General features: G+C 39.2%; 1 protein-coding gene across 2 annotated transcripts in view, besides 1 other annotated feature; it reads right to left on the reverse strand.

Moving 5' to 3' along the window:
• The window catches only part of CNGB3 (cyclic nucleotide gated channel subunit beta 3), a 169,456-nt gene that overhangs the window by 117,925 nt on the left and 36,877 nt on the right, over window positions 1-14,654 (reverse strand). Inside the window, exon 1 of one of the 2 annotated variants that reach the window (XM_011517138.3) lies at window positions 1,868-1,897. The exons of the other annotated variant lie outside the window; for it this stretch is intronic. The gene's annotated coding sequence lies outside the window, so the exon portion shown is untranslated. Of the gene's footprint in view, window positions 1-1,867; window positions 1,898-14,654 lie in introns of those variants that run through there. 2 annotated transcript variants of the gene reach the window in all.
• Window positions 1,920-2,565: an enhancer, noted in NCBI's record as "H3K27ac hESC enhancer chr8:87706251-87706896 (GRCh37/hg19 assembly coordinates)". NCBI's record gives its function as "activates a minimal SCP1, AML or CMV promoter by ChIP-STARR-seq in naive H9 embryonic stem cells {active_cell/tissue: H9 hESC(naive)}" and the evidence as "EXISTENCE:reporter gene assay evidence [ECO:0000049][PMID:30033119]".

Here is a 14,654-nt window from a genome sequence, read left to right on the forward strand (position 1 = left end):
TTGATTTTCTTAAATTTATTGAGACTTGTTTCGTATTCTGTCATGTGGTCAATCTTGGGGAATGGTCCACGTACTTATGAAAAGAATGTATAGTCTGCAGTTATTGGGTAGAATGTTCTGTAAATATCTATAAAGTCCATTTGTTGTAGTTTATAGTTTAAGTCCCTTGTTTCTTTGTTGACTTTAGTCTTGATGACCTGTCTAGGGCTGTCAGTAAAGTATTGAAGACCCCCACTAATATCGTGTTGCCATCTGTCTCATTTCTTAGGTCTATTAATGATTGTTTTATAAGTTTGGGAGCTCCAGTGTTAAGTACATATATATTTAGGATTGTGATATTTTCCTATTGGACTAATCCTTTTATTATTATATAATGTCCCTCTTTGTCTTTCTTAACTGGTGTTGCTTTAAAGTCTTTTTTGTCTGTTAGAATAACAGCTACTCCTGGTTGCCTTTGTTGCCCATTTGCATGGAATGTCTTTTTTCACCCCTTTACCTTAAGTTTATGTGAGTCCTTTGTGTTAGATGAGTCTCTTGAAGACAGCAGACACTTGGTTGGTGGATTTTTATCCTTTCTGCCATTCTGTATCTTTTAAGCGGAGCATTTAGGCCATTTACATTCAATATTAGTATTGACATGTGAGGTAGGTACTGTTTTATTCATCATGCTAGTTGTTGCCTAAATACCTTTTTTTTTCATGGTGTTATTGTTATAGATTCTGTGAAGTTTTTGCTTTAAGGATGTTCCATTTTGGTGTATTTTGAGGTTTTGTTTCAAGATTTAGAGCTCCTTTTAGCAGTTCTTATAGTGCTGGCATGGTAGTGGTGAATTCTCTCAGGATTTGTTTGTCTGGGAAAGACTATATCTTTCCTTCATTTATGAAGCATAGTTTCACTGGATGCAAAATTCTTGGCTGATTATTGTTTTGTTTAAGGAGGTTAAAGACAGGACCCCAATCCCTTCTGGCTTGCAGGGTTCCTACTGAGAAATCTGCTGTTAATCTGATAGGTTTTCCTTTAAGATTACCTAATGCTTTTGCCTCATAGCTCTTAAGATGCTTTTCTTCATCTTGAGTTTAGACAACCTGATGACTGTGTGCCCAAGTGTTGATCTTTTTGCTATGAATTTCCTGGGTGTTCTTCTAGCTTCTTATATTTGGATGTCTAGATATTTAGCAAGACTAAGGAAGTTTGCCTTGATTAGTCCCTCATATAAGTTTTCCAAACTTTTGGATTTCTCTTCTTACTCAGGAACAACAATTATGTTTTGTTGTTTAATGTAATCTCAAATTTATTGGAAACTTTGTTCATTTTTTTTTATTATTATTATTATTTATTTATTTATTTATTTATTTATTTTTATTGATTATTCTTGGGTGTTTCTCGCAGAGGGGGATTTGGCAGGGTCATAGGACAATAGTGGAGGGAAGGTCAGCAGATAAACAAGTGAACAAAGGTCTCTGGTTTTCCTAGGCAGAGGACCCTGCGGCCTTCCGCAGTGTTTGTGTCCCTGGGTACTTAAGATTAGGGAGTGGTGATGACTCTTAACGAGCATGCTGCCTTCAAGCATCTGTTTAACAAAGCACATCTTGCGCCGCCCTTAATCCATTTAACCCTGAGTGGACACAGCACATGTTTCAGAGAGCACAGGGTTGGGGGTAAGGTCACAGATCAACAGGATCCCAAGGCAGAAGAATTTTTCTTAGTACAGAACAAAATGAAAAGTCTCCCATGTCTACTTCTCTCTACACAGACACGGCAACCATCCGACCTCTCAATCTTTTCCCCACCCTTCCCCCCCTCTCCATTCCACAAAACCGCCATTGTCATCATGGCCCGTTCTCAATGAGCCATTGGGTACACCTACCAGATGGGGTGGTGGCCGGGCAGAGGGGCTCCTCACTTCCCAGTAGGGGTGGCCGGGCAGAGGCGCCCCTCACCTCCCGGACGGGGCGGCTGGCCGGGCGGGGGGGCTGACCCCCCCACCTCCCTCCCAGACGGGGCGGCTGGCCGGGCGGGGGGCTGACCCCCCCACCTCCCTCCTGGACGGGGCGGCTGGCCGGGCGGGGGGCTGACCCCCCCCACCTCCCTCCCGGACGGGGCGGCTGGCCGGGCGGGGGGCTGACCCCCCCACCTCCCTCCTGGATGGGGCGGCTGGCCGGGCAAAGGGGCTCCTCACTTCCCAGTAGGGGCGGCCGGGCTGAGGCGCCCCTCACCTCCCGGATGGGGCGGCTGGCCGGGCGGGGGGCTGACCCCCCCACTTCCCTCCCGGACGGGGTGGCTGGCCTGGCGGGGGCTGACCCCCACCTCCCTCCCGGACGGGGTGGCTGCCGGGCGGAGACGCTCCTCACTTCCCAGACGGGGTGGCTGCCGGACGGAGGGTCTCCTCACTTCTCAGATGGGGCGGCTGCCGGGTGGCGGGACTCCTCACTTCTCAGACGGGGTGGTTGCCAGGCATAGGGTCTCCTCACTTCTCAGACGGGGCGGCCGGGCAGAGACGCTCCTCACCTCCCAGACAGGGTCGCGGCCGGGCAGAGGCACTCCTCACATCCCAGATGGGGCGGCGGGGTAGAGGCGCTCCCCACATCTCAGACGATGGGTGGCCGGGCAGAGACGCTCCTCACTTCCTAGATGGGATGGCGGCGGGGAAGAGGCGCTCCTCACTTCCTAGATGGGATGGTGGCTGGGCAGAGACGCTCCTCACTTTCCAGACTGAGCAGCCAGGCAGAGGGGCTCCTCACGTCCCAGACGATGGGCGGCCAGGCAGAGACTCTCCTCACTTCCCAGACGGGGTGGCGCCCGGGCAGAGGCTGCAATCTCAGCACTTTGGGAGGCTAAGGCAGGCGGCTGGGAGGTGGTTGTAGCGAGCCGAGATCACGCCACTGCACTCCAGCCTGGGCATCATTGAGCACTGAGTGAACGAGACTCCGTCTGCAATCCCGGCACCTCGGGAGGCCAAGGCTGGCGGATCACTCGCGGTAAGGAGCTGGAGACCAGCCTGGCCAACACAGCGAAACCCCGTCTCCACCAAAAAAATACGAAAACCAGTCAGGCGTGGCGGTGGCGCCTGCAATCGCAGGCACTCGGCAGGCACTCGGCAGGAGAATCAGGCAGGGAGGTTGCAGTGAGCCGAGATGGCAGCAGTACAGTCCAGCTTCGGCTCGGCATCAGAGGGAGACCGTGGAAAGAGAGGGAGAGGGAGACCATGGGGAGGGGGAGAGGGAGAGGGAGAGGGAGAGCCTTTGTTCATTTTTTAAAAAATTATTTTTTTCTTTGTCAGATCAGGTTAATTCGAAGGCCTTGTCTTTGAGCTCTGAAGTTCATTCTTCTACTTGTTCAATTCTATTGTTGAAACCTTCCAGTGTATTTTGCATTTCTCTAAGTGTGTCTTTCATTTCCAGACGTTGTAATTGTCTTTTCTTTACGATATCTATCTTTCTATGGAATTTTTCATTCATATCCTCCTTTTTGTTTTTAATTTCTTTAAGTTGGTTTTCACCTTTCTCTGGTGGCTCCTTGAGTAGCTTAATAATCAACCTTCTGAATTCTTCATCTGTCAGTTCAGAGATTTCATCTTGGTTTGGATCCATTGCTGGAGAGCTAGTGTGATCTTTTGGGGGTGTTATAGAACCTCATTTAATAGTATTACTAGAATTACTTTTTTAGTTCCTTCTCATTTGGGAAAGATTTTGGACTCAAGGGCTGCTGTTCAGATTCTGTTGTCCCATGGAGTAATCCCTTGATTTGGTGCTCTCCCCCTTCTCTTCGAGATGGGGCTTCCTGAGAGCTAGACCACAGTGATTGTTATTGTTCTTCTGAATCCAGCCACCCAGTAGGGCTACTGGGTGCCAGGCTGGTGCTGAGGAATGTCTGAAAAGTGTCCTGTGATTTGATCTATCTTCAGGTCTCCCAGCCATGGATTCCAGCACCTGCTCTGGTGGAGGTGGCAGGAGAGTAAAAGGGACTCTATGGGAGTCCTTGGTTGTAGTTATTTTTTGGTGTGCTGGTTTTCTTGAATGCTGGTTATGCTAGCAGTCAAGTTGTCATGTGGATGGACTCAGGACCTCTGATTAGCCAGGGCGTTGCAGGCAGTGGAGTTATCTATTGTTTTCTCCTTCTTTAGAGCAGGGTGTTCTGTTATGAGTTGCTGTAATGGCTTGAGTTGATTGGCCTCCTGTCAGGAGGTGGTGCTTCCAAGAGAGTACAGCTGCAGTAGTAGAAGGGGGATATAATCTTGCCCTGAGTTGGCCAGGATGAGTACTCAGGTTTCTCAGGTGATGAGTGGGGCCATAGAGATCCCAAGAGCTTACGTCTTTTGTCTTCAGGGTTTTTTGGCTGGTTTTTGGCATCTGCAGTGACAAGCCACTTCTTTCAAAGGGTCTGTGAATTCTTCCAGTTTTTCCAGTATGTTCCTACAGTGGTTCTTGGAGCAAAAGTTCATAATGTGTGTCTCCAGACACTGTTCTATCCATCCAGTGGGAGCTGCGTGTTAGTCCTGTCTTCTATCCACCATTTTTCCTATGATTGTTATATCCTCTTGCTGAATTGACACCTTTATCATTATATAAAGACCTTCTTTGACTCTTTTTAGAATTTTGTTTTGAAATTTATTTTGCCTTATATACACATAGCTACTCCTGCTTCGTTTTGGTTTTTAATGGCATGGCATATCTTTTTCCATCTCTTTATTTTCAGTCTCTGTGTGTCTTTATAGGTGAAGTGTGTATCTTTTAATCCGTTCAGCCACAGTATGTCTTTTGGTTGGTGAGTTTGGTCCATTTACTTTCAATGTTATCATTGAATATAAAATAATGAGTTATAGTATATTATTTGCAACCCTCATGATAAGCTCAAATCAAAAAACATGCAACAGATGCAAAAAAATGAATTAAAACATACCACCAGAGAAGATCACCTTCACTAAAAAGAGACAGGAAGGAAGGAAAGAAAGAAGGAAGAGAAGACCACAAATCAACCAGAAAGCAAATAACAAACTGGCAAGATGAAGTCCTTACTTATGGATGATAACATATTTTGGGTGGATAGTTGTTCAATTGGTGTTCTTGTAGGAAGTAAGATTGCTTGAGGCTTCTATTTGGCTACCTTGCACTGCCTCCAAAATCTGCTTGCATTTGTTTTACTCTGTTATTTCAATTTACTACTCTTTATTCCATCACAGATATATTAACTATCCTATCTTATTTTATTTATGGATTTGGAATCTATGAGTTTATCTTGGTCCTGGCAAAGAATTGTTGATCTTCACAATACAAAATATAGATTCTGTAGTTATATCATTAGAGATCAAGTTAACACTCTTAATACAGAGTCTGTAGTTATGTCATTAGAGATCAGGTTCATTTATTAAAATTCAGTGGGCACAATTGTTCAGCTTGCTATGAATTCACTGGTACACTTTTCCAACTGTATGAAAGATATTACAAGACATTTTCAAATTATTTACTAAAATAATATTAATTGGACTTTAAAAAAATTTTAGCAAAACTCACTTGCTATCTAGGAACCCTTTTCTTATTTTATTTAATTGTTTATTATACTTTAAGTTCTAGGGTACATGTGCACAACGTGCAGGTTTGTTACATATGTATACATGTGCCATGTTGGTGTGCTGCACCTGTTAACTCATCATTTACATTAAGTATATCTCCTAATGCTATCCCTCCCTCCTCCCCCCACCCCATGACAGGCCCTGGTATGTGATGTTCCCCACCCTGTGTCCTAGTGTTCTCATTGTTCAGTTCCCACCTATGAGTGAGAACATGTGGTGTTTGGTTTTCTGTCCTTGCGATAGTTTGCTCAGAATGATGGTTTCCAGCTTCATCCATGTCTCTACAAAGGACGTGAACTCATCCTTTTTTATGGCTGTATAGTATTCCATGGTGTATACGTGCCACGTTTTCTTAATCCAGTCTATCATTGGTGGACATTTGGGAACCTTTTATTTTCTAAGTGCTCAAAAATCACATTTAGCCATTGATTCTGGTGTTCTGCCAAAGATCTGATAAAGCTGTGTGACCGATAGTTTCCAGATTCTATATCATATCCCTCTTTGAAAATGAATTCATTTGTTCATTTGTATACAGCAGATTCAAGTTATTAGTAAATGAAGATTCTTCTAAATGTCATTTGTTATTTAGATAGTCTTTGAAAACCAAATATAAGTATCATTTTCATCAGGGACAAATAACAGATTTGAATCTACCTTTGTATGAATGTTATTATGACTTTATAGTCTAGGTTAGCTAATTCTCTTTAATGAGTGGAATAAAAAGCACATTTCAACCTTGTACTTGGTGGAGGCTTTAATTGGGGCAAGGACATTTTTATACAAAGATAGAGAAAACAATCGCCTATGGAATTTGATTCCTTGCTCCATTCCCTCGCTAGCACCTCTCCACATGCTTGATGATATTTAAAATTTCTTCATAGGGAAAAAGCTTTTCATCCCACAATTAGAATCAGGCTTAACTTGCTTTTTGAAGAGGTAGTAGGTAATTTGTGTTAAGATATAAATTACCAAGATTTTTGTATCTTGAAACAGATTTAGATGATAGAGTGAGGTAGGTGGTGGTGGTTGGTGGGAAGGGGTAGTTTGTTAGAGAGGGTGTTAAGAGTTGGGATTTTCAACGTGAGAGAGGTGAAGGTTTGAAAATAAGTAAGAAAAGCACTAAAAGGATGAAGTCAAGGGCCTCTAAGAGCCAGCATGATAGATTCTATTTCACAATTTAACACAGGATCACCATAGACCAAAGCAAGTTTATAACTAAGGCAATGAAGATCATCTGTCTCCTCCCTTCCCCATTAATTGTGAACTTTAGCTTTATAAGCTCCTAAGAGGCAGAAAACAAGTCGGAGACCCGTCATCTATTTGGGAGTATATGGTATGTATTTATTGTCCTAGGTGCTGGGTTTATTTTTTTCAGCAAATGAGAGTTTTCTTACAATTATTAATCAATGATGGAGGAAGTGATCATTAGAGTACACCTTTATATTTTGAAGGATAGTAAAGTTACGCCCACAACTGGATTTTTCTTCTGAAAGCATGTTTTCAAGATCCTTACAATTTGAACCCCTTTTTTAAACTCCATCTGTTGCACCTTAGTGTCATATTGGAAATTATAACAGAATTTTTAACTCTTCTTCATTATAATCTTATATAATAATAATTTAGATATAAATTAATTGGCCATAACTTTATAAGTAAACAATAAAATCAAGACTATTGAATGTTGGCCAGGTGCAGTGGCTCATTCCTATAATCCCAGCACTTTGGGAGGCCAAGATGGAGGATTGCTTGAGGTGAGGAGTTTGAGACCAGCCTGGGCAACATAGTGAGACCCCATCTGTCTCTCTCTCTCAAAAATAATACATAAAAAAGACTACTGAATGTTAATATATTGCATATAAGTACCATTTCCAATGAGCCATTTATTGGTACTTATGGATTCTTGCTGAATATGATATATGATGGTGGTTCATGACAATGTCCTGACATCCACAACAATCAATAAAAGGAAAAACTGCTGAAAGCTTTCAAGTTTTTCATTGTCTGAAAACTGCAGTTAGTTTGGATAGAAATTTAATTGCCCAGAATTTCAATCTGATTGTATTAGATCCCTTTTGCCAAATTTATAGGGTTGTCCAAGTATGGTATTTGAAAAATGCTCATAATTTCCAATATCTGCAGGTGGTGAATTCTTTAATCTTTCTTCTTAGCCTCCCTAAGAGGAGAGACAATTGGAATCTAAAATACAGTTTATTTCCTTTCCTACTTTTTTTCTCCTTCCCATCCTCCCTTCCTTTCCTCCCTCTATCATCCAATCTCTCTTTCTTTCTTCTTTTGCTTTCAATCCAAATCAAGCCAAATAAAATGGCAAGACCCCCACAAAATTTTGTTTAACATGTTCAATTTCTTGTTTGAGTAATACAAAGATGCTAAATTGTTATAACTTTTTATTGCAACTTCAAAGAAACGAGACCTAAGCATTTCCAAAACTAATTACTGCAGATTAAGAGCAACATTGTATGAGAAGCAATGTTTTTTTTAAATTGGTTTAATTCAGTTAACTAATGCATACATCTGAAGCTCTTTATGCTTTTTTTCCTTTCTATTTGTCAGTGATAAACTCAGCTCTATCTGAGGCATTTGTGTGACATCTTAGGAATTATTAAAATATATTGCCTGCCATTTTCAATTTTTTTAATACTAAGAACCATTCAATTAAACGTATGGAAATTTACCACTAGGACATTTCCATGAATGAATACTTTCAACTAGTTGCATTTAAGTGATAGTCATGGTAAAAATTCTGGAAATTTTTCTTAGAGTAAGACTACTTTTTCTAATGTTATTTTCTATTTACAAAATGTCTCTTGGTTACAATTAACGAGATTAAATTGTTTAAATTCTACTTCCTTTTCTCCTCACATCTCCAATATCGTCAGGTTATGGTGTGAATCAAAACCAGTGGACTGAACTGAAAGTAGATGGACTGGTAGACCAAGGTGAAGAAGTTTTATTTTTTATTTTTTGAGACAGAGTCTTGCTCTGACACCCAGGCTGGAGTGCAGTGGCATGATCTCGGCTCACTGCAACCTCCATCTCCCGGGTTCAAGCAATTCTCATGCCTCAACCTTGTGAGTAGCTGGGATTATAGACTGTGCCACCACGCTGGCTAATTTTTGTATTTTTGTATTTAGAGACAGAGTTTTGCCATGTTGGCCAGGCTGGTCTTGAGCTCCTGGCCTCAAATGATCTGCCAGCCTCAGCCTCCCAAAGTGCTGGGATTACAGGCGTGAGCCACTGTGCCCGGCTGGGAAGGAATGTTTTTGAATCATTCCCAATCTTAATAGTTTCTGGATAATTATCATGGTCCATATAGTTTAAAATATAAACAATATTGCAAATATTGAATCCTAGCTCCACTAAAATCCCTGCCTCCGCAGCCTAGAACAAATGCTTTAATTTTTTATACTTTGGGAAGGTATGCAAATGAACCTGTTATTTTCTATTTTAACAGCTATGAGCTCATAATTCTTTCAATTAAAATTTATGCACATAGTAACTATCCCTCCCATCTTTTAGATTCAGCTGTTCCTTGGCTTTAGAAAAATCTCTTTGGCAAGCAGACAGGTAGAGAGTATAAACTGGAACTTCAAAATTTTAAGTTTAAATTAGCAAAATATGTCAACATTGGTAATATTACAGAATTTATGGAATTTAATTTCTTTCAGTGTTGAAGTATTTCTTGAAATAAATATGGGGCTCTAACACCAATAATATGCCATAATTTTTGTGAAGTGGGGCACAGAAGACAAGCTTTGGAGGACATCTCATAAATCTTCTAATTCAATTGCACTTAAACAAGAATCCTCTCTACATCATATCTAGATAAATAATTACTCAGTTTTTGAAGACAGGCTCTCTGTGGACTGCTTGAAGTAATTTAAAAGATTAGAAAAACAGAAAGATAACCATGCAATAATGCATTTGTTTATTATTTTTAAAATTCTTTCCCAGTGAAAGCCCGAACAGTGCAATAATATATTTAAAACATAGCTCTCTTACTGGACAATCACTATTATACTATCTCATGGTAGATTTTATTTTGTAAATAATTCAATAGATAACTACTGGGAAATGGTCAATTCCCCTGAAGTATTTTTATACTCATTTGTTACGAATTTTACCATTTAAGACCTTAAAAATTACTTTTAAATGGTCAAAAATAAGTAGTTATTATTGGGGACTTAGAAAATACCAAAAGGTGAAGGAAAAGAAAAATATGAGTTTTAAGTCTACTATTCAAAGGAAGTTATTATTAAAATTTTGGTGCATATTCTTTAAGTCTTTGTTTTATTTATCAGTTTGAAAATATATATTTGAGATTAGTTGATATGGACAGCCCTGTATTCTTTTTGTAAATATTTTAATGGTTGTTAATAAACACATTTAATATATGCTATAAGAAGTTCTTTACATGTTCCTCACATTATAGCACATTGGAAAGTAACTACTTTTAAGGCATTAAGAGGCAAACAGATGAAGCTGTTTGAGGCTAGAGGCAACTGTCTTGTGGCACTGGCTGCACAGACAAATCTTGTTATCATTTTTGAGGGCTCGGAAGATCAATGAATCAGTAATCTGTTCTGCAGCATGGCAGAATCCACTAGTGGGACAATTCTCCTTAAGGCTATTCTGTATTGTTCTATCATTGGGCATTTAAGATGAATACACATTTTATATTATTATAGGTAATGAACAAACATATTTTGTATTAATACAGATACTCCAACAAAGATGTTTTAATGTCATCTTTGACCATGAAGATTTTATACATTTGAGATTATTTATTTCCCTGTAATAAATTCCCCCAAATAGTAGCATTGAATATTTTTGGATATAGATATTTCTAAGAATCCTGATACCTACTCATTGGTTTTCTAAAGAAGTATCATTAACATTTGAGAATGTTTATTTTATCTCCCCTTCTCTAGCATTGGGTAGTATTTTAAAAACATTTCTGCTATTTTGGTAGCCAAAAATTGGCATGTAATTTTAGTGAGCATTTTCTAGGTTACTCTCAAGATGAATGCTTGCACATTTACTTATAAGTCACTTTTTTCTAACTTGTGAATTTTTGGTTTTGGAGTCATATTCTTTTTTAAAAAAAATCTCTGTGTAAGCTTTTAATATATATATTAAGTATTTTCTCCGTTTTTCATGTCTTCTTCTATTTTTTAAAATAGGAGAGTTTTTATTTTGATGAAGTCTAATTATTCATATTTGCCTTTGTCATTTCTTCCACCTTAGAAATGTCTCCATATATTTGATGAAGATTTTTATATAATTTTTAAAAATTGATTTTACTTTTAACTTCATCCATGAAATCTATTTGGGTTTTTGGCATGCCATAAGGAGCTAAATACAATTTTCTTTCTTTTACATACAGTTTACCATCTAACACCATTTTAAAAATAATCTGTTATTTTCTTGTGATTTATAATGTCATCTTCATTTTTCTTTAGTGCGTCGTGCTTTTTCTGTTAATTAGATTCCTACTTAAAACAAGACTAATTAATTTTTCACATATATCCAAATATTTATAATAACATGGGACTCTTTATTTATCGCTTTATTATAGGGACTATTTTCCTTCCACTTACAGGCAAGGTTAAAATGAAAAAAAGAGAGTTTGTCTATTGTGTTGGTAAAGAAAGACAGAAGTGGGAGGAGGAGAGGAAAATAAGTGCTTTATGATAATTTATTTTTCCCAGAATAGGAATTCACTGGGTGCACACAATATAATTCTTTTTCTCATTTCCGTCTACCCCTTAGCCATTGTTTTCCTTTGATCTTTTTTCAGCTTTGCAATTATTGTGTGTGGCTGCATGATGTCTAGTGGACCGGCACTAGAGGGCAGTGTGAGTGCATGTTTATGGGTGTTAAACGACACTGTTCAAAGGCCGTTCTAAGCAGAGTTCAAGCTTTGTTGTAACTGATTGCTACTGTGCCTCTTTTTTCTTAACTTAATCCATGCTTTTGTTCGGCAGCCTGTACAATAGGAGCCAGTGCTGGGGAGACTATTGCATGTTGCCAGGGAGCTTGTACAACCAAGTAAAGCCTCATTCGGGTCTTATACGGTGAATGTATTCATTCAGTGATTTGTATTTTTCAACAAAGAATCAGTATGGTGTTATATCTGAGTGATTATAAGTCATTTTTACTTTTATTTTGTGATATTTTTCAAATTTACTATTGTGGACATGTAAATTACACTATAAGAAAGAATAAATATCATAAAAACTAATATTTCTTATTATTTCTAGCAGTCAAAATTTATTGCAAATTACAGTTGGCCCATAAATGATGTAGAGGTTAGGGGCACTAGACCTCCTGTGTAGCTGAAAATTGCATATGACTTTTGACTCCTCCCAAACTTAACTACTAATAGCCTACTGTTGGCCAGAAGCCTTACTTGTTCATATGGATGGGTACATATTTCATGTTATACATGTTACATACTGCATTCTTACAATAAAGCAAGCCAGAGAAGAGAAAATGTTATTAAAATCATAAAGAAGAGACCATATATTTACTATTGCCTAAGTGGAAGTGGATCATCAGAAAGGTCTGCATCCAGTTGTCCTCATGTTGAGTAGGCTGAGGAGGAGCAAGAAGAGGAGAGATCGTGTTGCTGTCTCACAGATGGCAGAGAAGGAAGAAAATCCAGGGATAAGTGGTACCACAGTTCAAATTCTTGTTGTTCTAGGGTCAACTGAATTAAAGATTGTGTTTATGATGGGAACAGAAAGAGAAGAAAAATTCATTAGACTGTATTTTCCTATCCTGTTAACTAGGGATGATAAAAACATGGCTGTAATGGAAATGGAAAATCTTGTTTTTCCCACTTCTCTTAAGGCAATGCTCTGAAGGACTTTCTGCCCAGGCTTTGGGAGCTACATCAGGGACTTGGAGGTTTCTCTCTAACTGATTGGCACTTGGTCCACCAAGGGACACTGAGACAATGTCAAGGGCACTGTAGCAGTCATGTTTCAAGCTGGAACTCAAGAGTACAATTTCTCACAGATTAATTCCATAGTTCTTTTCATACAGCACTGGTCTTAAATAAATTATAATCTAAATTGAATTCTTTAGGCTCTCTTTTCATCTGACTGTCATTTTTAACATTGTTACAATGGAAAAATGCATTAGGAGTTTCAAACAACTAATGACTTTTAAAATACCGTCTATTTTTTTCTTTTTTTGAAGTAACATCTGTGTCATCAAATGACAGAATGCTAGTAGGTCTCTTTCGTTCAGAGGTCACCAGCAACCCACGAACTAGAAATCTGCTATTAGAAGCTGTAGTAGAGGGCTGATTGGCACGAAAAATTAGCTTTAGAATTAATGTAAATTAGCATGTCTAAGCATTTAAAGCTGACAGTCAATAAACTCCTCCCCACACCTCCCAAAATACATCTTGGGAGAAGCAAATTGCCTAGGAATTCTAATTAACTGCTGAAGTCCTTTGCCAATATTTCACTTTAAGTTGAATTCTCATATGTATTTCTGTTAGTGAACAGGCAGCTTTCTTCTTTCACCAATTAAACCTAAGGTCTTGGAAGTTTTCATTTTCATCGTTTAAGTTTTGTTTGGTCCTTTACTGTGTTCACCAGTCCAAATTGTACTATGCACCAGTAAACTATTTAAATTCTCCAGAGCAAATAAACTTCAGGTGTGAGTAAAAAAAAAGTGCTGGCAGACGACCTGCCCCCGCTGCCCCCAACCCACCCGCAAATGTCCATGCTCCTATTCCTAGAACCTGTGAATATGTTACATTACATGGCAAAAGGAATGTTGCAGGTTACAGAGTTTAACATGGGGAGATTATCCTGGATTATCTGGGTGGGCCCAATATAATCATGTAAGCCCCTAAAAACCAAAAATATTCTCTGGCTGCAAGCAGAAGAGACGCTGCAGACAAAACATTGTCACACCAAATACCAAAGACAGGCTGGATATCAGAAACACGGCTGACATGAGCGCTGGGGGTTCAGAGAGGAGTTATAGCCTGAGTTATATCCTTCTGGGGTGGAGCTGCAGGTGGTTTACATATAGCAGCACAGGCTTTGGCCTTAGGTCGGCAGTGAGACAGTAAGTTGCTGGGCTTTCTAAATTTGTATTTGCACCAATGCATGGAGTTAGTTTAAATGATGTGGATTATAGTATGACACAGACTAGGAATAGTGGGTGATACAGAACCAGATGCTCATTTGAAGAAACCAAGACAGAAACTTTTTGCTGCTGCTGTTAACACCTGGATAACTTTTCACCTGGTCATTGATGAGGAAGACTTGTTAACTTCAGAACTTTCTTTACTGAGGCCCTACACTGACAGTGAGGTAAGTGTGGTAATTTAATTGTAGTTGCTTATATAAATTACCTGTTAATAAACAAAACACAATTCCTTTCATAATGTAGTTTATATTCTTTAGTGAACTTTTAAAAATTATATTTATAAAGTAGGGACTGAAGTACTTTTCCAGGTCTCATTAAAACCCAATGTGCTGATGTAAGAACAGATTGATGATTGAGTAAAGATTGCTGTACCTAAGGAGGCAAACTAGGCAAACAGCCCCTCTCTTCCCCTTAGATTAATGTCTGAACAAGACCTATTTAAGTCTACATGAACCATATGTTACATTTTCAGTTCCTTTCAAAACACATGTTGGTACGGTTTAAGCAAAACATTCATTACTTTAAAAAATACCCTCTGCTTCTAATTTTAAAAGCATGTGAGTAAATGCATCGCTCATTAGTGTGAGAAAAGCACTGTATTGAGCTCCAAGTAGGTAAAAGTGCAACAGCCTTGAGAGCTCTTTCATGTGGCCACCAGTTGGATCTTAATCCTGGGGGAAGTAAAACCTTTCTCCAATTAGATTTGCCCTGAATAGAAGGCTTGCTGTGTCCCTCAGCCTGATACTTTTGTTGCCTGGACTGATGCCCTCTGAAGTCCAGACTTAAACCATTGTTTTCCTTTCATTTGAGTCTTAAATCGTGTCCTAGACTCTGGAGGTGAACACTTAGTGCAATCAATCCCTGATTACAGTGCTTTCTCCAAATCTGGTTA

This window comes from Homo sapiens, chromosome 8 (genome assembly GCF_000001405.40).
Source record: "Homo sapiens chromosome 8, GRCh38.p14 Primary Assembly".
NCBI lineage: Eukaryota > Metazoa > Chordata > Mammalia > Primates > Hominidae > Homo > Homo sapiens.